This window comes from Homo sapiens, chromosome 2, assembly GCF_000001405.40.
Source record: "Homo sapiens chromosome 2, GRCh38.p14 Primary Assembly".
In the NCBI taxonomy this organism is placed as follows: Eukaryota; Metazoa; Chordata; class Mammalia; order Primates; family Hominidae; genus Homo; species Homo sapiens.
The window spans coordinates 170989656-171016124 of record NC_000002.12 but is presented as its reverse complement, the minus strand read 5'-3'; the positions used below and the strand labels follow the sequence as shown (position 1 = coordinate 171016124).

At 38.0% G+C, this 26469-nt stretch overlaps 1 protein-coding gene across 5 annotated transcripts in view; it reads left to right on the top strand.

The window, feature by feature from the left end:
- TLK1 (tousled like kinase 1) overlaps window positions 1–25302 on the top strand; it is a 240471-nt gene extending 215169 nt beyond the window's left edge. For all 5 annotated transcript variants that reach the window (NM_001136554.2, XM_017005422.3, XM_011512238.4 and 2 more), the window contains 9 exons: window positions 1177–1274; window positions 4671–4752; window positions 9062–9153; window positions 9236–9325; window positions 9482–9651; window positions 9843–9978; window positions 18302–18413; window positions 19365–19472; window positions 22169–25302. In NM_001136554.2, the coding sequence (NP_001130026.1) occupies window positions 1177–1274; window positions 4671–4752; window positions 9062–9153; window positions 9236–9325; window positions 9482–9651; window positions 9843–9978; window positions 18302–18413; window positions 19365–19472; window positions 22169–22345 (1065 nt within the window). In that variant the 3' untranslated portion in view covers window positions 22346–25302. The remainder of the gene's footprint in view (window positions 1–1176; window positions 1275–4670; window positions 4753–9061; window positions 9154–9235; window positions 9326–9481; window positions 9652–9842; window positions 9979–18301; window positions 18414–19364; window positions 19473–22168) is intronic.
- Window positions 25303–26469: the final 1167 nt, after the last annotated feature.

The window sequence follows — 26469 nt, the reverse complement described above, 5'->3', positions numbered from 1 at the left end:
TATCCTTTTTTTTTATTGACGGCGGGTGGCGGTGGGCTGGAGAGTGGGGATGGAGTTTCCCTCTTGTTGCCCAGGCTGAAGTGCAGTGGCACGATCTCAGCTTGCTGCAACTTCCACTTCCCAGGTTCAGGCAATTCTCCTGCCTCAGCCTCCCAAGTAGCTGGGATTACAGGCATGCGCCACCACGCCTGGCTAATTTTGTATTTTTAGTAGAGACGGGGTTTCTCCATGTTGGTCAGGCTGGTCTCGAACTCCCGACCTCAGGTGATCCGCCCGCCACAGCCTCCCAAAGTCCAAAGTGCTGGGATTACAGGTGTGAGCCACTGCACCCAGCCCTAGTCTTATCCATTTTTTAAGTAGTATTCAAATTTGTATTGACAAAAAAGGGGTGGGTGTGTGTGTGTGTGTGTGTGTGTGTGTGTATATGTGTGTGTGTATGAATGAATGACATGAATGACATGAGTGATATGTGTACTTGTTTTGGTGGCTAGTCTAAAAGTTGTATATTTTAAGACAAAAATGTATTTATCAAAATATTTATATTGATTATTAAATTTCTTTAAGATTTATTTACATCTGCTCTGATACCTTAGAGTCTACTACAGCAATCTATAAATTTTTTGTTGTAATGTATCTTTAGGATTGCAAGTGAGTGGTCAGTTTGTGTGTGTGTGTGTGTGTGTGTGTGTGTGTGTGTGTGTGTGTGTGTTTGTACTCCAAATGCTGTAAGGCGTAGGAAGAATCATTCTGCTTTTTTCTTTCTTCCTCTTTTAACTATTATAAAATATTTTCATTTTATTTGTTTTCTACTAGTAAATTATTCCTTCTTAAATTAAAATTTGCATGGACTAGAAATGGCTCATTTTATGTTATGTCAGTTTTCAACTACCTTTCAGTATATACATTATAAAAATAGATTTCTTGTAGTACAGAATAAAACCCAGCATCTCATTAGGTATAGATTTTCATGTGGAGGATGGTTTCTTCAAATAGGTTTTTGCCTTATCTCTTTCCATCTTTTCGGCATTGAAAAGAGCACTTTGGTCTTTTAACTCGGTGGTACTTTATAATATACTATTCTTCCCATCACTGTAAAACATTGATGCATGGGTAAAAATATCTTTTTTATATCGCAAATAAATTGAGCTTGTTATAGTCCCCTCTCTTCATTTTCAGGAAGAGGCAGAAATCCAGGCAGAACTTGAACGTTTGGAAAGAGTCAGAAATCTTCACATACGTGAGCTGAAAAGAATAAACAATGAAGATAATTCACAGTAAGTCATTATTTGCATTTCACAGTTTCATATTATTAAAACTACCCCCGCCCCCCATAGAGCATAAACACAATATTTCCTTCTTGGGTTGTCTCATCGTACTTAGAAAAGATCCAAAGTCCTTCCCATGGCTTGGAAGGCCTTTTATGATTTGGTCCCTGGCCACCTTACTGTCCTCACTTCTCTTAAACATGTCAAGAGCATTCCCTTCTCAGTGGGCTTTTGTGCTTACCATTTCCTCTGCCTGGATGTTCCTCCTCTAAACACCTAATTGGCTTAATTACTTATCTCACTCCAAATGTTCTTTAGAAAGGCCATTCTTAGATCATCCTATTTAAAATAGTAGTCCCTAGCCAGGCCCAGTGGTGCTCACCTATAGTTCCAGCTACTCAAGAGGCTCAGGTAGGAGGATTGCTTTGGCCAGGAGTTCAAAACCAGCCTTGTCAACATAGTGAGACCCCCATTTCTTTAAAAAAAAAAAAAGTCTCTGCTTCTTCATTTCCTCTTTTAATATCGTTACCTTGCTTTATATTTTCTGGATGTTGATCACTATCTGGAATTATAAATTTATTTTTTAGTTATTATTTGTCTCCTCCCTCTAGAATGTAAGCTTCATGAGTGCAAGGACTTGGTTTTGTTCTTGCTGTATCCGTAAAGCCTAGACCAGTGCCTGACATATGGCAGGCACTTAATAAATATTTGAATACCAAAGTTAATGTTATAGTAGTGAAGGAGAAATTATTTCAACCAAAAGTATTTCAGTAAGCCATGTATCCCACATTATGCAAGAATTGGGAGAGAAATGGAAAAGTACAGCTTACAGTCTGTGTTCTTAATCAGTTGTCAGAATGAGTGCCATAGATAGTATATGTTGAAGCAATTGAAAGAAAAGAAAATATCTGTGGGCTTGTGGGAGCTTCATGAAAAAGATAGAAATTGAGCAAGACATAGAAGTAGAAATTAAGCAAGGTACTACTTGGATTTAGTTGATGTACAAGAGAGGAAAGGTTTCTGTTTACACTTCATCTTTGACTGGTCATGTAGTTTAAAGCTTCATGAGTTAATATAAGTATCAGAATAGGAAGTGGCCAATTTCTGTGTGAAATATGAAAATCTTGCTTAGAAAGGTCTTCTTGTGATGTCTATGTATGTATAATTCATAAATACACAGATCATTCCATTGTGTGAAGAGAAAGAAATAGTTATGGAATAACCTAAATTATGTCAGATTAAAATTCTAATGAAAGCCAGGTGTGCTGGCTTATGCCTGTAATCCTTGCACTTTGGGAGGCCAGTGCAAGCAAATTGATTGAGCCCAGGAGTCAAAAACGAGCCTCAGCAAGGTGGAAAAACCCTGTCTCTACAAAAAATACAAAACTTAGCAGGGAATGGTGGCATGCACCTGTAGTCGCAGCTACTTGGGGAACTGAGGAGGGAGGATCGCCTGAGCCTGCAGTGAGCCTAGATCGCAGTCCAGCCTGATTGACAAAGTGAGACTTTGTCTCCAAAAAAAAAAAAAAAAAAAAAAAAAAGTGAGGGGCCAGGTGTGGTAGCTCATGCCTGTAATCCCAGCACTTTGGGAGGCTGAGGTGGGCGGATCTCTTGAGGTTAGGAGTTCGAGACCAACCTGGCCAACATGGTGAAACCCCATCTCTACTAAAAATAAAAACACTAGCCCAGCGTTGTGGTGGGCGCCTGTAATCCCAGCTACTTGGGAGGCTGAGGCAGGAGAATCACTTGAACCCGGGAGGCGGAGGTTGCGCCACTGCACTCCAGCCTGGGCAACAGAGCAAGACTGTCTTAAAAAAAAGTGAGACTCTGTCTCCAAAAAAAAAAAATCTAATAGAGCATATGGTACAAAACTAATTTAAGACTAACTGTTCCGAAAATTACATTTCAAATTTTGTGGATCTGACTTACATTGATGAAAATAAAATCAACTGTTACAGCTTTACAGTGTGGCTTGAAACTAAGCAGAAATTTCTTATATCTACAAGTTTCTCAAGAAAAAGCTTAAATTACTAAATCTAGAGTCAATTGATCTTGAAAAAAATAATAAAATACAATGTATTTTGGCCAGGCGTTGTGGCTCACACCTGAAATCGCAGTACTTTGGGAGGCCGAGGCAGGCGGATCACAAGGCCAGGAGTTTGAGACCAGCCTGGCCAATATGGTGAAACCCCGTCTTTATTAAAAATACAAAAATTAGCTGGGCGTGGTGGCACATGCCTATAGTCTTAGCTAATTGGGAGACTGAGGCAGAAGAATTGCTTTAACCCAGTAGGCAGAGGCTGCAGTGAGCCAAGATCGTGCCACTGCACTCCAGCCAGAGCGAGACTCTGTCTCCAAAAAATAAAAAAATAAATAAATAAATAAAAATACAGTGTATTAGTATTGCAAAGCTGACTTTTTTTTTGAAAGTGTACATTTTGGAACCACATTTTTCTGCTAAGTCCTGCCTTTTATTAGCTGTTAAGCAAGTTACTTAACTTTTCTGTGCATCAGTACCTTCATTTATAAAACAGACATAGTTATAGGACCTACCTGATAGGGTGGGTTGAAAACTAAATGAGTTAATACAGGTAAGAGCATAAAACGCACAAGTTGAACATCCTAATGTTGGAAATCTGAAATGTAAACTTCTCTAAAATCTGAAAATTTTTGAGCACTGACATGACATTCAAAGGTCTTGCACAAAGGAAATGCTCATTGGAGCATTTCAGATTTTGGATTTTCAGATTAGGGATGCTCAGTCGGCAATATTCTAAAAAAAAAAACAACTCCCAAATCGGAAACACTTCTGGTTCCAGGTATTTCAATAAGGGATACTCAGCCTATATATGGCAAGTACGGTAAATTTTAAGTAGTAATAGTAGTAGTATTACCTATGAGTGATTTTTTTTTTAATTTTAAAAAATCTTTTTAAAATTGGTGGTTAATTTATTTTACAAAAGTCCGAAGACAGTAAAATTTAATGATGAAGGCCAGTTTATAATTATGTTTAATCATATGTCAATACTGTAAAAGCTTGATTATAACTCCCAATATAAAAGTCTGTTTTTTCCAGAGAAGTGATTCTTGCTGAGTACATAAAGGATTTTATGAAGCTCTTGGCAATGCAGTAATTATTAGGTCTTTGTGAGAGTGCTATAATTGGTCATTGCTCCTGAATATTGAGCTATAAAAGTTTTGTGAGCGCCAAAGCCTTAAGATGGGTGGTAGTCATGCAGATAGACTGGTAGAGAATGAAAAGAAATATTGAATGAAATTTGAAATTAGCAGTGGAGTAACTGAGAAATAAATAGCTAGGAATAGAATAAGAGAGTAGAACTTCAGTGTAGAAGGAATTTTTATGTGTGTGTTTTAATATGTCTGTTTTTTGCCCCCACCTCTAAGGTTCAAAGATCACCCAACATTAAATGAAAGATATTTATTACTTCATCTGCTTGGTAGAGGTGGCTTTAGTGAAGTGTATAAGGTAATGTATGTTTTATTCTGTTTTTTTTACACTAATGTAGCAAGGATATAGGAGTATGTGGTTAAGAAGTACTTACGTTGTCTGGGCATGGTGGCTCACACATGTAACCCCAGGGCTTTGGGAGATGGGAGGGTGCCTGAGGCCAGGAGTTTGAGACCAACCTGGGCAACATAGTGAGACCTTGTCTCTACTTAAAAAAAAGTCAGCCAGGTGTGGTGGCGCACACATGTAGCCCCAGCTACTCAGGAGGCTGAGGTGGGAGTATTGCAGAGTCCAGGAATTCATGGTTGCAATAAGCTATGATTGCACCACTGCACTCTAGTATGGGTGACAGAGCAAGACCCTGTCTCAAAAACAAAAAAAAGAAGTACTTGTCTTTTGTTTATTGATTATATGTCCTCATTATAAAAAAGGGTTTGTTGTGGCTTCTGTTGTCTTATTTCCAGAATCCAAAGACTGTCCTTGCCACCTGCACAGTCCCTGTGATATTTGATACCTAGTCACCATTAACCAGTCCAATACAAAGAGTAACAGCTATTTAAATCAAGATAGGCAGGTAGCCATTTAATACAGTACACTTATAGAAAGATTGTACCCCTTAATTAAAAAATGTCTGAAGTATTAACATGTCCTGAATTTATCCAAATTTCTACCTATGTCAAGTCCGTTTCTCAAATGCATATGTATAAATGTAGCATTTTTACTCCCCATGTTCACTATTTTATGCCTTTCTTTTTTTTTTTTTTTGTACTTTATGTTGTATCTTTTAGCCTAACCTTTAAATATTGGATTCCTAAGGTCCCTTTTATCATTCTGTATTCTCCCTTAAGAAGGTTTTTATCCTCTCTCATTCACTGGGTTATCTATTTGGTGTCACCCCCAGGTAATATCTAGCTCACACTTTCTTCCTGAGTTCAATACCTCAAAGTATGTTTGTATACATGACTTACCTCATGTGGGTGCTTCATAGGTACTGGAAACTCACATTTGAAATAGAAGTTATCTTCCTCTCCTCTAAAATGTCTTTTAACACTGCTTCTGACTTCCCTGACCTCAGTATATAACATTGCCATTCATCTGCCTGGTCCCTCAAGTGAAAAAACACAAAAACCATCGTATGCTCTTCCTTTCCCTTTGTTCCCCTCCCCTCACATATTATAAGCCCCTAGTTCCTGCTATTATTAATGTCATTAAGTTCTCCTAAATTCAGCCATGACCCTTCCCTTCTGTCTCTTAGCTCAAGGCTTCTTCCGGAACCTCATAGCTGATTGTCTTCTTTTGGGCATTGCTTTTCTCAAGTCATTTTGTACACTGCAACTAGAGTGAACTTTTTATAAAAGGCAGCCTGATCATCTGTCCTACTTGAAAGCCCCAGTAGCTTCCCATTTGCTCTTGGGATGAAGTCCTAGTGAAGGGTTATATGCTCATCTTTAGTTCCTCTAAACAGCTTCCCTGACCCTCTGCATCTTCTCTGATAGATTTGGTGTGCCTTTTTATAAGCTCCTTTGTGCTTCATTACGTACTGGCATAGTTGGTTAAAAGCTTTGGTTCTGAAGCCAGACAGCTAGGTTTAAATCCTGACTGCTATTTACTAATTTTATTAATTTGGGCTTCTTATTTAAATCCCTGTCTGACTCATTGGCTCCTTCTGAGAATAATAACAATACCTACATTATAGGGTTGTTGCAGTGATTAACTGAGTTATCACATGTAAATCATATAGAACATAGGTGCTGAGATAAGCTGATAAGATTATTAGAAATCCTGCTTGTTGGCCATGGCTCACACCTGTAATCCTAGCACTTGGTGGGGCCAAGGCAGGCAGATTGCCTGAACTCAGGAGTTCAAGACCAGTCTGGGCAACATGGCGAACCCGTTTCTACTAAAAATACAAGAAAAAAATTAGCTAGGCATGATGGCACATGCCTGTAGTTCCAGCTACTCGGAGGCTGAGGCATGATAATCGCTTGAACCTTGGTGGTGGGAGGTTGCAGTGAGCCAAGATTGTGCTACTGCACTCCACCCTGGGGGACAGAGGGAGACATTTTCTCTCAAAAAAAAAAAAAAAAAAAAAAAAAAAAGGAAAAGAAATCCTGACTGTTGCATGGGACAAAGACTACACCCTTCTCGTTTCTGCTTCTGACTTGGAAAAATTATGGGATTTGAGTTAAGAGAACTTCAGTTCTGGTATCAGTTCAACCATGCACTATTTTTTGTTAACTTAGATAAGCATTACACGTCAGGGTCCTCACCTTCCTCATTCATCAAAAGTGATCTTTGGGCTCTCTTCCAATTCCTGTTTCTCTGATTCTAATAATAGTTTATCCTTAAGCACTTAATGGGTGAAGTAGGCTTACCATAAGGTAGAAAAGATTATCATGATAGTTCAGCTGGGATCTAAAAGTCACTAAAAGTGCAGTTAGCATTAGCGTGGCCTAAAAGTTGTTGAGCTTATGAACTTACCATGAGCCTTCATAACAACCCTCTGCTACTGCCTGGTTGTATTTTAAATAACTATTTTACCCTCATAGGTGAGGACTTTTGTAGAAGAGGCTTACATAGAGATTAGAAAGTGCAGATTGGGGCCCAGTGACTTGAACTTTCTATACTGACCTAAATACTAGTGACATCATTCTCTAAGCCCTTTAAAGCCCTTTCATGATTGCCAGTTCTGTTGGGAAACAACTAGACAAAAAGCAGATTGTAAGTCAAGAAGTAAAGAGTTGTATTTTATACCAGGATGGGAGATGTTGAGTCAGTTGCTGAGTGATTGCCATATTAACCTTATGGAAAGGTATACTTCTACTCACCTGAAATTTTGGGAGGAAGATGTGTTACATATAATTTATTATAATCAGTATACTCTGATAATAACTTTTTATTGCTTGCTTAGTTTTTTCTTCAATTATCCTTTACTATGATTGCCTTGAATTCTTTATAGATTTGTTCCGCCTTGTCCCTTATATAAACTTACTTTATTTTTATTCTTCTCAGTTTCTTTACACTTAACCCTTAATAATAATATGTAATTAGCTAATGTTTCTTGGCCGTACCATGTATTATTCTAAACACCTCATATGTTTTACCCCCATTTAATCCTCTCAATAACCCTAACTTTTGGGGCTCAGAGAGGGTATTAGCACAGAGTCACTCAGCTAATAAGCTAATCTGATTGCAAACAGAATATTCTTAACAACTGTGTGCTATATTATATCTGATCTCATACTTTTATAGTTTTGTACCAAAGTAGTCACTTTACTGCTTATCCCTTCCTGCTTATTTTTAGGTTAAATTGATGGGAGGAAATGGGGACCTTCTTTCTAATAAATACGTAAGCTTTTAAGTGAAAGGGGCACCTTTGTGTGTAAATCACAATGGAACCAAAATTATTAAATGTCTCTTTAATGGTATTCATTGCTTTTTAAAAAAACATAAGTCATGTAAAGCTGTTAAAATACTGATCATTCTGTGTTTTTAATTTAAGAAATAGGCTGGTGATTTGAACAAATCAAGTATAAATTCTTTTTGAGACAACCAGGGAAAATTGAAGACAGGTTAGGTATTAGATGAGATGAAGGAATTATTACTGATGTAGTTAGGTGTGATAATGGTATGTGGTTATTTTTATTTAAATACTGATGTGTTTACTGGGAGAAATAATGTATTTGTTTTAATAATACTCTGGTTGGGAAGGGTGGGATGCAAGGGTACTAGGGAATAGATGAAACAAGAATGGCAACATATTGGTAATTTTTGAAACTGGATGGTAGGGGCATAAGGGCACATTATAGTAGTCTACTTGTGTATATGTTTGAACAGTTTTATAATAACGAGTTTTTTTCAACAGTTGGAAAAATAACTGTTAGGAACTTTTTAATTTTTCTAAAAAGTGAGAAAGAAATAGGGGGTTGCTAGGAAAAGATAGATTTAAAAGGTTTTATCCAACCTACAAAAAAAGTGGTACAGTCATCTGTTTTCCTGGCTGCTTACTACTAGTATAGAGGAATAAGTCCATATTAAAAACAAATAATAGCTTTATTGTTTTATTTTTATTCAGTATATTGGCATTTATAAAATTTAATGTGAAAATTCACATTAAGGTTTTCTCTGATTTATTACCATGGAATTTCTGTCTTCTGATAATAAAAGTGTCATTGAGCTATATATAGTCTTAGCAGAGAAGATCATTAATAATTGTAGGGTTTGTCCTAATTCCATATTATTGCAAAAATTATCACCAAAATAAAAAACATCTCTTCAGCTATTCAATTGGTCTTTCATCTTAATTGTTTTTGACTTGAAATCCTAGGCTTTTGACCTTTATGAACAAAGATATGCTGCTGTGAAGATACATCAGCTTAATAAAAGCTGGAGAGATGAGAAGAAAGAAAACTACCACAAGTAAATACTAATACTTTATGGTTTTTTAAAATTGAATATTTTTTGAATGATCATGGAGAATTAATACACTGTCTTCTCATAGACATGCCTGCAGAGAGTATAGAATACACAAAGAACTGGATCACCCCAGAATAGTTAAACTCTATGATTATTTCTCCTTGGATACAGATACGTAAGTGAATATTAAGGTTCAATTTTTAAGGAAAGATATGCTTGCTTTCTCTTTCCCCATCCTGTGTTGATGATATAAATACTCTCCATTTCCCCATTGTGATTCTGAATTCTTGGATATTACTTATGTCTAATTTTTTTCTCTTCTCTGTTGTAGGTTTTGTACAGTGTTAGAATACTGTGAAGGCAATGACTTGGATTTCTATCTGAAGCAACACAAGTTAATGTCAGAGAAAGAAGCTCGGTCTATTGTAATGCAGATTGTAAATGCACTAAGATATCTCAATGAGATCAAACCCCCTATTATACATTATGATCTTAAGCCAGGTAATTATGAAATTTGTCTAATTTTTTTTAAACTTGAGTATAGTTTTTAAAAGTCATTCATTAAGTTATCTGAAAACATGTTTTTTGGTTTCTCTTGTAAGACATCAGTAAAATACTAGTAAAATTAAAAGTTATTAAAGTTATGTTTTTCATGTATGTATCATTAAAAGAATCTTATATTTTATTCTTAGGAAACATCCTACTGGTAGATGGAACAGCATGTGGTGAAATCAAAATCACTGATTTTGGTCTGTCCAAGATTATGGATGATGATAGCTATGGTGTAGATGGAATGGATCTAACTTCCCAGGGGGCAGGCACTTACTGGTAAGTGTATTACTAAAAACATCAGAATGTCTAGATTGGTGCCCAGTGCTTTTATAATAATTTAGTGTTTTTTTTTTTATTTCCATGTAGCCATTAAGATTACTGTGGTAAAGGTACTGATATTAAGCTCTCAGTTGAGAGGGAGACTTCTGTGGTCATTCCTCTTTTCTCATCTGTTCTTAACTGCAAATAACAGCATACTGGAGAGAGAATGACCTGGCATTAACAAGTGACTTCAGTACCTGCCAGTCAGAAACTCCTAACAGGAAGAATTCATTCATGGGTTTTCTTCTACAATGTTAGCGTGATGTTCATCATAAATATAAATACTTATGTTAATATAATATTTTAACTATTGCAAGCAAAAACTGCAAGCATCAAGCCCTCTCTGTGGAGGTTATATGGTTGCAGGAATTTTCATTTTATTTTGAGACAGGGTCTTGCCCTGTGCAGTGGTGTAATCTTAGTTCATTGCAGCCTCAAACTCCTAGGCTCAAGCGATCTGCCCACTTACTCTTGAGTAACTGAGACCACAGGTACGCACCACTATGCCCAGCTAATCTAAACTTTTTGTAGAGACCAGGTCTTAATTTGTTGCCCAGGCTGGTCTTGAACTCCTGGTATCAAGTGATCTGCCTCTCCCAAAGTGCTTGGATTACAGGCGTGAGCCACTGCACCTGGCTGGTGGTTTTTGTGGAAGATGGATGTTTTGTTGGCTGTGAATGGGAGATAAATTTGGCATATTCTTTGGACTTGACTTTCAGAAATCCCTTTTAAAGACTTGATATGTCTAGATTTAAATTTAGATATAATCACAGATTCATAGATATAAATCTAAATGACTGTCATCCCCTCAGTATACCTACGTGTTCACAAAAACTACTTCAGTGTGAATTTTCAAACTTGTTAAATTCACCAAAGTGGAGAACATAAACTATAAAATTTCAAAACAAACTTAGTTCTCAGAGAAAATTAGTTTAGCATAAAGAGTGACATTTTAATGGAAGAAAGATAACTGCGTTCAACTTCATTGAAACAGGATTGTGACTACAAACATAAATGTGACTTCAGGTTTTCCAGAACAGTATTCACACAAACTGAGCACATCATAACCACTTACACACGATGCCACTGTCTGTATAGATTTCACTTTTAATGAGCAGGGATTAGTCATATTCATGTATTCTTTTAAAGCCACTTTCAAATTTTAAATTTGGCTTGTGGCATTTCCTAGGAACATGGATAAGATAATAATGTCATGAATTTTTTCTTCATATTTTAAGAAAACTATTCAAACTGGTAACCCCCTGAAAGTCAATATTCTCAAAGTCTTTGGACTTTTTTCTTTTAGCAACAAGGCTCATTTTTTTTTTTAACAACAAAATCTTATTCTAATAAAACCAACAAAAACAAAGCATCTTGGTAGAATCTTAGATTCCATGGAAGATAGCTTGAAAACCATGTTCTAAACAATAAATTATTCTTCGTCTGCAGGACATTCTCATTATTTGTTTCTCTCTCACTCTGGCTTCACTAGTATAGGGAAGGACAAGGAAATTTCCCTTTTACAGATGTTCGAGGGACAAAGAGCTTATGTTTCAGGGGCTGTACTGGAAGGAGATACAATAATGGCATTGTTCTATAGGAACATGGAATGTATTTCTCATGGAAATCTGTGGTCCAAAAATTGGTTTATGTCTACAGTCATATTAGTTGTTTAGCTATGTACAGCTGACCTTGAATAATATAGGTTTGAAATGCATGGGTCCACTTTTATGTGGCTTTTTTTTTTCCGATAAATACATTGGAAAATTTTTTGGAGATTTGCAACAATTTGAAAAATCTCACTGACGAACCATGTAGCCTAGAAATATTGAAAAAATTGGCTGGACACGGTGGCTCACGCCTGTAATCCAAGCATTCTGAGAGGCTGAGGCGGGCGGATCACTTGAGGTCAGGAGTTCGAGACCAGCCTGGCCAACGTGGTGAAACCTCGTCTCTGCTAAAAATACTAAAAGTACAAAAGTTAGCTGGGCATGGTGGCCATGCCTGGAATCCCAGCTACTTGGGAGGCTGAGGCAGGGGAATTGTTTGAATCCAGGAGGCAGAGGTTGCAGTGAGCTGAGATCATACCACTGCACTCCTGCCTGGGCGACAGAGCAAGACTCCGTCTCGAAAAAAAAAATACTGAAAAAATTAAGAAAAAGGTATGTCACGAAGGCGTGAAATATATGTAGATACTTGTCTGTTTTACCATTTACTGCCATAAAATGTACACAAATCTATTACAAGAAGTTAAAATTTATCAAAACGTATACAAACACAGACTGTACCTGGTGCTATTTGCAGTTGAGAGAAACGTAAACAAATGTAAAGATGCCGAATTAAATAATAACTTCATAAAATTAACTGTACCACATACTGTGTACTGTAATAATTTTGTAGCTACACCTTGTTGCTATTGTAAGGAGCTCAACTGTTTTGAGTATCTGTTTAAAACACTGTGATGCTAATCTCCGAGCAATTAATCTCTCCAGTAAAAGGCCTATCGCAGTAAAAAGTAATCTCTCGTGATTCTCAAATATTTTTCATCATGTTTAGTGCAATATTGTCAACCTTGAATAACACCAGTAATGATGGAAGTGCTCTCAAGGAGCAGAGAAAAATCATGACATTACAAGAAAAAGTTGAATTGCTTGATATGTACCATAGATTGAGGTCTGCAGCTGCAGTTGCCCACCATTCCAAGATAAATGAATTCAACAAAAAGATCATTGCTAAAAAAAAGAAATTTGTAAAGCTGTCACTGCAGCTATGTCAGCAGGAACAGAAACCTTGTACTTTTTTTTTTTTTTTTTTTTTTTTTTTTTTTTGAGACGGAGTCTTGCTCTGTCGCCCAGGCTGGAGTGCAGTGGTGCGATCTCGGCTCACTGCAAGCTCCGCCTCCCGGGTCCACACCCTTTTCCTGCCTCAGCCTCCTGAGCAGCCGGGACCACAGGTACCTGCCACCACACCTGGCCAATTTTTTGTATTTTTAGTAGAGACGGGGTTTCACCGTGTTAGCCAGGATGGTCTTGATCTCCTGACCTCATGATCCACCCGCCTCGGCCTCCCAAAGTGCTGGGATTACAGGCGTGAGCCACCACGCCCAGCGAAACCTTGTACTTTTTGCAAAATACCCTTTTATCTCTAATTGAAAATGGAAGCCGTGCACGGTGGCTCATGCCTGTAATCCCAGCACTTTTGGGAGGCTGAGGCAGGCAGATCAGATCACTTGAGCCTGAGAGATGAAGATCAGCCTGAGCAACATGGCAAAACCCCATCTCTGCATAAAAATACAAAAATTAGCCAAATGTGGTGGCACACACCTGTAATCCCAGCTACACAGGAGGCTGAGACAAGAGGATCATCGCTTGAGCCTGGGATGTGGAGATTGCAGTAAGCCCAGATTGCACCACAGCACTTCAGCCTGGGTAACAGAGTGAGAACATGTCTCAAAAGAAAAGGACAAAGAAAATGCAGCTTTCTGGGCGCATGATACCCACAGACTGTAATGTGATTTTAGAAAAAGCAGGCCAGGCGCGGTGGCTCACACCTATAATCCCAGCACTTTGGGAGGCCGAGGCAGGTGGATCACGAGGTCAGGAGATTGAGACCATCCTGGCTAACACGGTGAAACCCCGTCTCTACTAAAAATACAAAAAATTAGCCGGGCATGGTGGCAGGCGCCTGTAGTCCCAGCTGCTCGTAGTCCTAGCTACTCGGGAGGCTGAGGCAGGAGAATGGCATGAACCCGGGAGGCGGAGCTTGCAGTGAGCTGAGATTGTGCCATGGCACTCCAGCCTGGGTGACAGAGCCAGACTCTGTCTCAAAAGTAAAAAAAAAGAAAAAGATGATATGACCATTTTAAAGCAAAAGGAAGGTGAAGGATCTAAAGCTGGAGAATTTCATGCCAGTAAAGGATGGTTTAATAATTTTAGAAAAAGGGTTGGCTTTTAAAATGTCAAGATAACAGGAGAAGCAGCTCCCGCCAACCAAGAGTTCCCAGATGCTATTAAGAAAATAATTGAGGCCAGGCGCGGTGGCTCATGCCTGTAATCTCAGCACTTTGTGAGGCCCAGGCGGGCGGATCATGAGGTCAAGAGATCGAGACCATCCTGGCCAACGGTGAAACCCCGTCTCTATCAAAAATACAAAAATTAGCTGGGTGTGGTGGTGCATGCCTGTATTCTCAGCTACTATGGAGGCTGAGGCAGGAGAATTGCTTGAACCCAGTAGGCAGAGGTTGCAGTGAGCGAGATCACACCACTGCACTCCAGCCTGGGCAACAGCAAGATTCGGTCTCATTCATTCATGAATGAATGAATGAATGAAAAAGAAAAAATAATTGAGGAGAAAGGATAGCTGCCTGAACAGATAATTTAATGCAGACAGAAGTGCCCTCTTCTGGAAAATAAAAATGCCACGGAGGACATTTATTTGTAAGGAAGAGAAGTGAGCACCAGGATTTGATGTAGGAAGGGACAGGGTAACTCTACTGTTTTATGCAAATGCAATTGGGTTTATGATCAGGACTGCCCTTAGCTATAAAGCTGCTAACTCTGGAGCCTCAAACAGAGAAGATAAATACCAGCTGCCAGTCTTTTGCCTATACAACAAGGAGGCCTGGACAATTGGAACCCTTTTTTTGGATTGGTTCCATCAGTGCTTTATCCCTGAAGTCAGGAAGTACCTTGCCAATAAGGGATCACCTTTTAAGGTTCTTTTGATACTGGACAATGCCCCTGGCCACCTAGGAGCCCATGAGTCCCCAAACACAACAATATCTAATTCAGCCTCTAGATCAAGAGGTCTTAAGGAACTTTAAGGCTCGTTACACATGATACTCTATGGAAAGGATTGTCAGTGCTGTTAAAGAGGACACCAGTAGACAGAACATCATGAAAGTCTGGAAGGATTACACCACTGAAGATGTCATCATTGTTTTAGAAAAAGCCATGAAAGCCATCAAGCCTGAAAGAGTACATTGCTGCAAGAGAAAACCGTGTCCAGTTGTTGCATATGACTTTGCAGGATTTATGACAGAGGCAGTCAAGGAAATCATGAAAGAGACTGTGGATATGGCAAAGAAGGTGGGGTGAAGGGTTTCAAGATATGGATCTTGGAGAAATTCAAGAGCTAAAAGACACCCCTCCAGAGGAATTAAGGTGACTTGATGGAGATGAGTGCTTCCAAACTGGTGCCAGATGAGAAAGTAGTAGTAGAAGAGGCACTGCCAGAAAACAGGTTGACATTAGACAGCCTGGCAGAAGGGTTTCTATTAGTCAAGACATTGCTTTTGACTTTTATGACATGGACCCTTCTATAATACAGGCACTGAAACTAAAGCAAGTGGTGGAAGAAGGATTGATACTATATGAAAAAGCAAAACAAATTATGTCTGTAAAGTTGCACTGAGTGTGTCTGCCTCCCCTTTCATCTCTTCCCCCGTCACCCCTGAGACAGCAAAACTAACCCCTCCTCAGTCTACTCAACCTAAAGATGACAAGGATGAAAACTTTTGTCATAATCCACTTTCACTTAATGAATAGTGATTTTCTCTTACGATTTTTCTTAATAGCAGTTTTTTTCTTCTAGCTTACTATAAGAATTTAGTATATAATACAGCATATAAAATATGTATTAATTAACTGTTCATGTTATCAGTAAGTCAACTTCCAGTCAACAGTGGGCTATTAGCAGTTAACTTTTTTTTTTTTTTTTTTTTTTTGACAGAGTTTCGCTCTGTCACCCAGGCTGCAGTGCAATGGCACAGTCTTGGTTCACTGCAACCTCTGCCTCCCAGGTTCAAGCGATTTCTCCTGCCTCAGCCTCCCAAGTAGTTGGGATTACAGGTGCCCGCCACCATGCCTGGCTAATTTTTTTGTATTTTTAGTAGAGACAGGGTTTCACCATGTTGGCCAGGCTGGTCTCAAACTGCCGACCTCCTGTTCTACCCGTCTCGGCCTCCCAAAGTGCTGGGATTACAGGCATGAGCCACCACGCTCAGCCTAGTAATTAACTTTTTAACTTTTTAGGGAGAGTCAAAAGTTAGACATGTGGCCAGGTATGGGGGCTCACTCATGCCTCTGATCCCAGCAGGAAGACCACTTGAGCCCAGGAATTGAAGACCAACCTGGGCAACATAGCAAGACCCTGTCTGTATAAATTTTTTAAAAAAATTAGCCAGGCATGGTGGTGTGTGCCTGTGGTCCCAGCTAATTGGGAGGCTAAAGTGGGAGAATCGCTTGAGGCTTGGAGATCGAGGCTGCAGTGAGCCGTGATCGCACCACTGCACTCAGCCTGGGCAACACAGTGAGACCCGGTCTCAAAAAAAAATAAAAATAAAAATCATACATGGATTCTCAACTGCATGGGTCAGTGCCTCCAACCCCTATATTGTTCAAGGGTCAACTGTATTTGATATATTTGGATAGCACTATAAATACTCGTATATTTTAGAATACACATATAATATTGCTCTTATAAATTACCTTTCATCCTCAGAAACTTAAAATATTTAGTTTTGTCTCTCTGGTCTCAAATTCACTAAATCCTGGTGGACATCTTTTCCCAAGTTACTTTGACGTCAATTTCTGTGGTTGCTCTCCTTGCATACATACACCTTGTGCCTGGAGAGAGTATAGCTTAATCTTTACAAGCTATTCCTGTTTCAGTTACACACATAGACACCTGCGTAAAATACACACTTTTATTGACAAAATAAATCCAGCTTTTTACTGCATTACAAATGAGTTATTGGTTATCTTTGCTGGTTTTACTTCACGGAAGTTTCATGTGTATTTTAAGAGATCTGTCAACATCTTGCTGAAATCTTAATGATTTTAGCATAGTGAATACAAAACTGCATTTTTTAAAAAAAATAGTAAATTCCCATTGAGCAGCATTATTTGTTTTGATAATTTTAAGTTTATCTAAATTTTTGAGGTGTGAGATGCTTGCATCCTTGTGATGGATCTTTTACTTATAACTGGAGATGACAAATTGATTTTTACCCTTCATCTATTAAAAATTATGAACTGGCTTAGTGTGGTGGCTCATGCCTGTAATCCTAGCACTTTGCGAGGCCAAGGTGGGAGGATCACGTAAGGCCAGTAGTTCGAGACCAGCTTGGTCAACAGCACAAGACTATCACTACAAAGAAGAAAGTATTAGCTGGGTGTGCTGGTGCACGTCTGTAGTCCCATCTATTTGGGAGGCTAAGGTGCGAGGGTCACATGAGCCCAGGAGTGTGAGGCTGCAGTGAGCTATGATCGTACCACTGTACTCCAGCCTGGGTGACAGAGTTGGACCCTGTATCAAAAAAAATTATGAACTTATAAATAGGACTTACATATTTTTAAAATAGTAATTTTGAATACCCATTGTGTTTCAGACACTGCTAGTGCTTGAAACTGCACAGTGAATAAGAGTTCCTTGAGCTGCTCACGGTCTGGTGTGATTGTAGTTTAATGCCATAATAGAGGCATTGCACCATTCTGCAGTAACACAGAGAAAAGCAGAGCCACCTGGGGAGAAGCAAAAGATGGCTTATGGGGGTTGGGTGGGTCTTGAAGAAGAAAAGATGCTAAGTAATTGGAGTGATTAGGGAAGGCAGTAGTGATTGTCATATTCAAGAGCTCAGAGGATAAAGGAGAGCCGAGTGGAGATGCAAGTGAATTGGTTTTGACTAGCCAATTTGGCGGGTTAGGGTGGGGGAAGATAGTGTGTGCAGATTTTGAAAATGTATGTTGTTGCCAGATTAGCATGAGTCTTGTGTTACAAACAAGAGATACAAGGTCTTGTTGGCAGTAAGTGCTGTCGAAGTTGTTTGAACAAAAGAACCATGTGATCAGGTGTATATTTTAGGGAGAGAAGTGCCTACAGTTTGAACAGTGGTTAAGGAGGATGGGAGAGGGTTTCTTCTACTATTATTAGATACTGCAAATAAGACCATTGTAATCTCTTTAAGTTTTTGTTTCGGTAGGTAGGTAGGTGGTAGGTAGGTAGGTAGGTAGATAGATAGATAGATAGATAGATAGATAGATAGATAGATAGATAAAGATAGATAGAGATGAACTTTATCACAATGTTGTATGTGTTGGCTCTAGAGTTAAATGATAAAAGAATGTAAATGCTCCAGAAGTTCAGTTGATGATTTTCACTGATGGGAGTCCTAGAGTTTATATATGAATAAAATTCGTGTTCTAAGATTTTACACTTAGAAGATTTTAAGTTACAGATTGTCAGTAGTAACCTTTTTTCTCTCCCACAAAACTTACAGGTATTTACCTCCTGAGTGTTTTGTAGTTGGAAAAGAGCCACCAAAGATTTCCAACAAGGTTGATGTATGGTCGGTTGGAGTCATCTTCTTTCAGTGTCTTTATGGTAGAAAGGTAAATTGAATTCTACCAGCCTTCAGCTCTACAGAGATAAATTAAGTTGAATTTTTCCTTCTTAAAAGCAAAATTTCACTAACTTAAAGTCAATTTAGATCCTTCTAAAGAAAGCCAGGCTTCTCCTCTATTTCTTCCTAAAATTTCCATGGATCAGAATTATTTTAATGTCACACCAGTTTACTTGACCTACTTTTTGCTTTCTTTCCTTTTTTTAAGAAAAGAAGTAACTATCTGTTAACATGCTAATATTTGTCTGCTATTGGGAATACTGGAGTCAATACTTTTCATTATCCACCATTCACTTGACCTCCTCTTACACCCCCCACCCCACCCACACACACAGTTTGGCCTGGGTGGGCAGTTTCCCCGTTGCTCATCAGGGAAATACCATCAAACTTAGTCTTATTTCCCAACTTCTTTTTATATTGAAGTTGGAAGTGCAGGTTACCATAAATATTAACTAGCCCACATCCCACCCCATCCCTTCATCAATAGGGGAAGAGAGGTTAAGGGATTTGTGTGGGATCTCCTCACTCCAAATCCAGAGCTCCTTCATTTAAATTCGCCTGTGATGCACACAGTATTTTATTCTTTGGAAATTGTCATAGACATTTTCATTACTACTTCATCTCTTCTCTAACTGAACTTCATTGTTTATTCAGAATAAAGTTTTAAATTTATGTTTTTATCTTATATTGCAACAGCATTATTTTCTTCTTCTTACAGTGTTTAATCTATGTTGAAGATCTGTTAGGTAGGCTTTCTTGGCCTGCTATCAATTATAGCTTGTTTGTATGAGAATTCATCTCAGGTTTCAAATAACTGAGGAAGATTTTAGAACACAAGATATTTGGATTTTCGGTTTTGGGAATTCGCTTAAACAGAAATGATATCTGTGTTTAAATATTTTGTGAGAAAAGTATCTCAACATTTAATTTTTTTTTTAAGCCATTTGGTCACAATCAATCTCAACAAGACATTCTTCAAGAAAATACAATATTAAAAGCCACAGAAGTCCAGTTCCCTGTAAAACCGGTTGTAAGCAGTGAAGCCAAGGTATTAAATTTTTGTAAATGAGTTTTGTGAAGTAACTTTTCTTTCATCAGTTGTGCTGACAACAAGGTAAGTACTTTCCAGTAAGTAAAGTCACAAGACTCGCTGCTGCAGGGGATCTGTCCAGCAGGGGCTGGTGATTTACTTTCAGAGAAGGAGTTGCATCAGCCTCTGGTTGCTATAGTTTTTATCTTTTAAGCTATGGTCTCTGATTGTTTATGTTCATCAGCTGCTACTTTGAAAATTAGGGAAAAATCACAAGATCTGGGCTCATCATTACCTTTTATGTATTATTTTATCTGCTTATGTTAATACTGAGATATATAAGTATATAAGAAATATTAAAAGTAATAATAAGGCTGGGCGTGGTGGCTCACACCTGTAATCCCAGCACTTTGGGAGGCCAAGGCGGGCAGATCATCTGAGGTCAGGAGTTTGAGACCAGCCTGACCAACATGGTGAAACCCGGTCTCTACTAAAAATACAAAAATTAGCCAGGCGTGGTGGCACACATCTAGAGTCTCAGTTGCTTGGGAGTCTGAGGTGGGAGGATCACCTGAGCTCAGGGAGGTCAAGGCTGCAGTGAGCCATGACGATACCGCTGCACTCAAACCTGGGGGACAGAGTGACACCCTGTCTCAAAAAAACCAAATAGGCCATGCGCGGTGGCTCACACCTGTAATCCAGCAATTTGGGAGGCCCAGGCAGGCAGATTGCCTGAGCCCAGGAGTTCGAGACCAGCCTGGGCAACATGGTGAAACCCCATCTCTACTAAAAATACAAAAATTAGCCCGGTGTAGGGGCCCGTGCCTTTAGTTTCAGCTTCTCAGGATGCTGAGCTGGGAGGATCGCTTGAGACCAAGAGGTAGAGGTTGCAGTGAGGTGAGATCGCACCACTGCACTCCTGCATGGGCGACATAGCAAGACCCATTCTCAAAAAAACAAAAGAGATAAATATTCTTATTTGAAAGCAAAATGAATTATTTTTGTAAGATAAATATGACTCCTTTAAAAATATTTTAACTGTGCTGACATCTAAATCTTGTCTTATTTTCTGTCTGTAGCCTCATTGAGAACAGAAATTAAATGAATTTAGTTGATTCATGATCTGTTTGTTTAATACTGACTGAAAAGACCAGGAGGAGTGGAGTTGCCAAAGGCAAAGTCTCATTTAGCCATTCCTGGTTCTCTCCTTAGGCTCTTAATAGGCACCACAGTCACCTTTTAGAGATCTGGAATCCAGGAAGGGTTAAGGGGTTGTTGGGGGGATATAATATTAATATGATACAATTATATGATATAAATTTTAATATTTTAATGTAATATATAATATCTCTATATTCTGTATCCCTACAGAAGATACCTTTGCCAAGTACTTTCCCTGACTTGGTGTGGGCATCTTTAAGTACATTATTTGTTGCAGACTTAACCTTAACCTTGCTATTGATAGCCTTTCCACTCCTCAAACTCTAACATATCAGTCTTGATGTTTTTTTCCCTCTTAATCATTTTTCAAAGTGATCTCTGAAACTTTGTTAAAGATAAAAAAGATAAGTCCTCTAAGGGATCAGATTGACTTCCAATAAACAGTAAGCTATGGTAAAATGAGAATAGCTAGGTATATTTTTAGAGAAAAATATACTTCTAATGAATTTCAAAGCAAAGAAAGTGCAAAATAGTTACCTTTTAATGTGATTATACTTCTGTTTAATGGTATGTATTAATTTCTAGTGTCAGCATTAAGAAAGGGAAACAATTACCAGTTACCTCCTGAGAATATTTTATCTGTTCCCTCCCCCCCCAAAAAAGGATGAACCTCAAAATTTAATATTGGGTGAAAGAGGCCTGGCAAAGGAGAACATAATTTATAATTCTATTTATATAAAATTCAAACAATCAAAACTCAACTATGGTTTTAGAAGTCAAGATAAAGGTTAACCCAGGTTCGACTGGGGACAGAGCCAGTGCCTGGAACTGGGCATGAGGGGGATTCAGAGGTTCTTTTTCTTGATCTGGTTGCCAGTTACATAGATGTATTTACTTTGTGCTATGCACTTAACGATTTGTGTGCATTTCTAAAAATGTGTTACACTTCAGGAAAGGTTTTTTTTTTTTTTGTAAGAGGCTATTCTCAAAGAAAAACTGAGTAAAATTGGTTTGAGAAAAAAAAAATAGTGATTATATTCTGTTTATTTAGCTTTTCCAGGAGTGTAATGATGCATAGGGTTAACCTGGGAAACAATGTCCCTAATGAAAGTGTCCCTTCAGTGATCTCTTCATCTAAAGAAAGTCTTTATGTCAGTAGGAAAAAAAAATAATGGTTGAAAATGGCATCTTACCCTTTGCTAAACTGAAGTGATAACAAAATGGGATGAGGGTGGGAGGACTGTTTAGCAGAAGAAAAATGCTAGAAAAAAGTCTTCAGAATTTCGTAAGCAGAAACAACTTTCCAGTATAAGTTCAAATGGTTGCAGTAGTAATTTAGACTGTAAAGTGAACCACTGCAGGGGCTTCAAGCAGTGAGTTGCATTTGGAGTGAGAATTTTCTAGCTACAGAATTTTTTTTTTAAGGTTTGAACTTCCAATAAAATGAGATCTACTTATGTCTTAAATGTGTCCATCCTTCTGCTGATTCAGTTGATTGATATTTAGAAGGGAAAAAGATCATTAATTGCTAACATTTCCTTTCTCTTTTTGAGGCATTTATAAGACGCTGTTTGGCATATCGAAAAGAAGATCGATTTGATGTGCACCAGCTGGCAAATGACCCATACCTTCTCCCACACATGAGAAGATCAAATTCTTCAGGAAACCTACACATGGCTGGGCTGACAGCATCCCCTACACCCCCTTCTTCAAGCATAATTACTTACTGACTTTCCTCCAAGATTGGCATGATATCTTTGAATTTGCTTCCAGATGCACACTTAAGTTTGAGAGCATTTGAGTGTTTGTTTTCTTTTTCTTTTTTTTTTTTTTTTTTTTTTACACAAGACGTGGTTAAGAACTGTTTGTGAACTGAAGTTCCTCATAGTGTCATTTGTATGAGAGAGGATCATGGACAATGAATAAATGCACACTTCTGACTATAATTTTGAGCAGTGAAGGAAGGATGACTGCCTGTTACACAGAAACAGGAATACCATGTTAAGATAGAGGAAAAAAATTTTGTTTATTTGGGGGAACACTGTAAATAACGTTTATAATACTTAAATACATTTGGTTGTTACTAGAGAGTTCTAATATGAAGGGTAGTTTTTCATTATTTAAAAACACATGGAAAAATATGAGACATATTTCTAACATACGAACTATAGTGCCTGGATACATTCTTCAGCATTTGGCAGTTAATCTGCTGAAACCAAAGTAAGAACTGAATGACAGTGACAGTTGTGTTTTATAGTAATAGAATGTGAGAGTTAGAATCTTTGGACAAAGTTAGGCTTTGTCATTTGCCTATTCAGACTTTTACCAAGTTGTACCTCGAGATCACATGTCCGTTTTCTTTCACTGGTTATATTAAAGGGAGAGCTATTATTTCTAAATACTTTACACCTTTGACAAAATGAGCTGCTTGTGTTGAAATCAGTTGAATTCACTAAATTATAATATTGCCAGTGTTTTCAACACGTTAGAATTGATAACAGGTATTTTTCTTTTGTTACCAGGCCTTGTTCATCAAAACAGGTGACAGTGAGTAACCAAATGCAGACCAGTTCTATGCAGGATAATGATAAATTCCCTTCTAGCTCTATTGTAAATTGTTGTACAGATGTCATATTTCAATTACTAAGTTTCAGCAGCTTATTCTTGTACAAATGTTTAAAATATGGCTTTTCTAATTGGATATTGTATTTTTTTTAAGTCTTCTTGAAGGCACTCTAATTGCTGCTAAATGATGTTGCTTCTTTGCTAAAAAATTAAATGACCTAGAAGGTGCAAGTTGACTGTACATCATAGATATTAAAAAGCAGACAGTCATTAACAATCAAGATGTAAAAGTGATCCATGTTGGACATAATTGAGTTTTTAAATCAGTTTATTGGGTTCTAGGGCTGTAGAACACATAGATACTAGATTTTTAATTTGTTCATGGTTATTCTACATTTCTAGAAAGTTCTTATCAGCAAGATGGTCCCATAAGCAAATTTCTTGTGGTTTGTACAGATTTGTTAAAATGTGAACGTTTTCTAACTGCCTCGTAGGGTAGAAACCAATATTTTTCAGGATGCTGTATTTCACTCCTGTAAGGACTTTTTCTTTATTGTCACATTCATAATGCTGATACTTACATGTAAGTTGTTCATGTTGCAGAAAAAGGTTATACGTACCACGGATTCTCTTTAATATTGTACAGTTAAACTGTATTTCTGATGTTGCAAGCCATTTTGTTTTTTCATTGTACATAGACACATTGTCTCTTTAAAATGCTGCTGAAATTGTAGAGAGTATAGCCAAAACAGTAATAAACAATGACAGTTAAAATGTAAAGACTATGAAAATTACATTGGAAGGGAGCTTTCAAGATGGTAGGATATTGACTAACTGAGCTCCTTCACTTAAAAATCAGCTGAATAAATTCCTTAAGTATACTTCAAGACAAGTGTAAATTGTTTCAAGCTGTTAAAGTTAAACCTAATAACCATTATCAAGGCAACTCCTGGGTAAGTAACACTTAGAACCATCAAGAGTGGTTTAAGGGGCTGGCTATACCCATTCCTCTGTAGAGCACAGAGAAATCCTATTAAAAAAAAAATACTACATGGTAATGAAATCTTAGCATTGATTGAGTGCTTTACGTGCTGCCTGCAAGTTTTCAGTTTTGTTGTTAGAGTTTTCGTCTTTATGAATGATAAAGTCCTATGTTCATAAAGTAACATTTAAATTCCTGAACTAAAAGGAAATGCCTGTTGTGCTTAAAATTTTGGGGAGATACGAAGTGAATGTGTAAATCTAACTTTGAGGTTCAGTAAGTTAAGTAGTATAGACCTAGAGATCACTGCTTTACCATTTTACTTTCAAATGAATGAGAGCGACTGCTAGTGGCAGAACGCAGAAAAGGGGAAAAACAAGCCATGAAATGAAGTTGCTTTCCTGACCTGGGTTTAGGTCATCATTTTAAAATCAAAGATGTGTAGGAGATGAATCAACTTATAGACCCATATTTTCCTTCTAAAAGTTTCCCAAAGAAATGTTATAGATTTTGAATAACATGCCAGTGACCCAGCAGGTCCAAGATGGCTAACCAAGATGGCTAATTTAGCCACATTGAATAACTTACTTTTACCCTCACATGGAAAGTTGGTATCTATTGCTAAATGATTTCAAGGTCACTCTGACAGTCTTTGACACTGTTTTTTTTAGGGTTTTATTGTTTTCTGGTCTCCTGGTGTCTGTCCTCAGAATTAAAGCATGTCCTGCATCCCTAAGATGATAGCCAAGGCCTCTCTTTTATTAAGAGTCAGCACTGATGTAGGGTAAAATCAACAGTTTTTGCATATGATTTTAAAATCTTTCTTTGATTTGAATTTGCTTTAGTGTGTGCATGTTGAGAGGAAGTAAGTGTAGAAACCACCCTAATTTGTAAGTTGGGAGTTGGAGATACTTGGTGGTTTTTCAAAAATAAAGACTCAATCTTTTTTTTTTTTTTAAACACTCACTACCATCTCCTTCTAAAACAACTCTGTCAGTTTAAATGGCATATAAAATGTGAACAAACACCTCATTACATGAAGTCAAAATGGTGAAGAGCTTCAGTGAAACATTTAAAGAGTATATTGTGTGTTGTTTTGCTGTTCATCATTACTTATTAAATGCAGTAATGTTGATTGCCCTCATGCTATTAGCTGTGTTTTAGTTGTATAGTACAGTTCACCTAGATTAATTTACTCTTAAAATTTAATTACATTGCTGTTTGATTTTTGTGTGAATGTTATAACCTTACTTACACATTTAAAAGCCCATTGACAGGTCTTTCTTTAATTCTGCCTTAAGTTTTGACCTGTTAACTGATGATTTTTCATCTACATATACTAAATTTCAATGTTCTGAAGATTTAATCTAATTCAAAAAGTGCTTTTAGGCTGGCAGTGATGGCTCATACCTGTAATCCCAGCTCTTTGGGAGGCCAAGGCAGGTAAATCATTTGAGGTCAGGAGTTGGAGACCACCAGCCTGACCAACATGGTGAAACCCCATCTCTACTAAAAGTACAAAAAAATTAGCTGGGCATGGTGGTGCATACCTGTAATCTCAGCTACTCAGGAGGCTGAGGCAGGATAGTCACTTGAACCCCAGAGGCGCAGGTTGCAGTGAGCTGAGATCATACCTCTGCACTCCAGCCTGGGCGACAGGGTGAGACTCCATCTCAAAAATAAATAAATAAGTGCTTTTAGCAGCTAGTTTTAGAATTAAATTGGAATTCTAGTTCCTGTGTTTCAGTTCATTCTTCGGCAGTTTTAGAATTTATATAACTTGTTTTTCAATTTAAATTAGATGTATTTCCTACAACATAAACATCTCCATTTACCTTCCCCTACTTTCCCTTCATTTCTCTTTTTTGAGGATTCCTCCCCCACCCCGCCCCCTCTGGGAATTCTATAATTTTTGAAAAGGAAAGATTTGAGTAAATGTGTTTAAATCAACTTTTAAAGTTATTTGCAGAGAGCCAGAGAATGGGGTAGAAGAGTTACTTATAGTTAGGACAAAAATGCATGGCTTTCACCTGGAAATCTTCATTTGTCTAAAGTAATAGAGATGTGGATTATCTACACACATATGACTGGTTTTGTTTTTGTTTGAGACGGGGTTTCACTCTGTCACCCAGGCTGGAGTGCAGTGGTGTGATCTCAGCTCACTGCAACCTCTGCCTCCCGGGCTCAAGCTGGGACTACAGGCGTATGCCACCACGCCCAGCTACTTTTGTACTTTTTGTAGAGACGGGGTTTCACCATGTTGCACAGGCTGATCTCGAACTCCTGGGCTCAGGCGATCTACCTGCC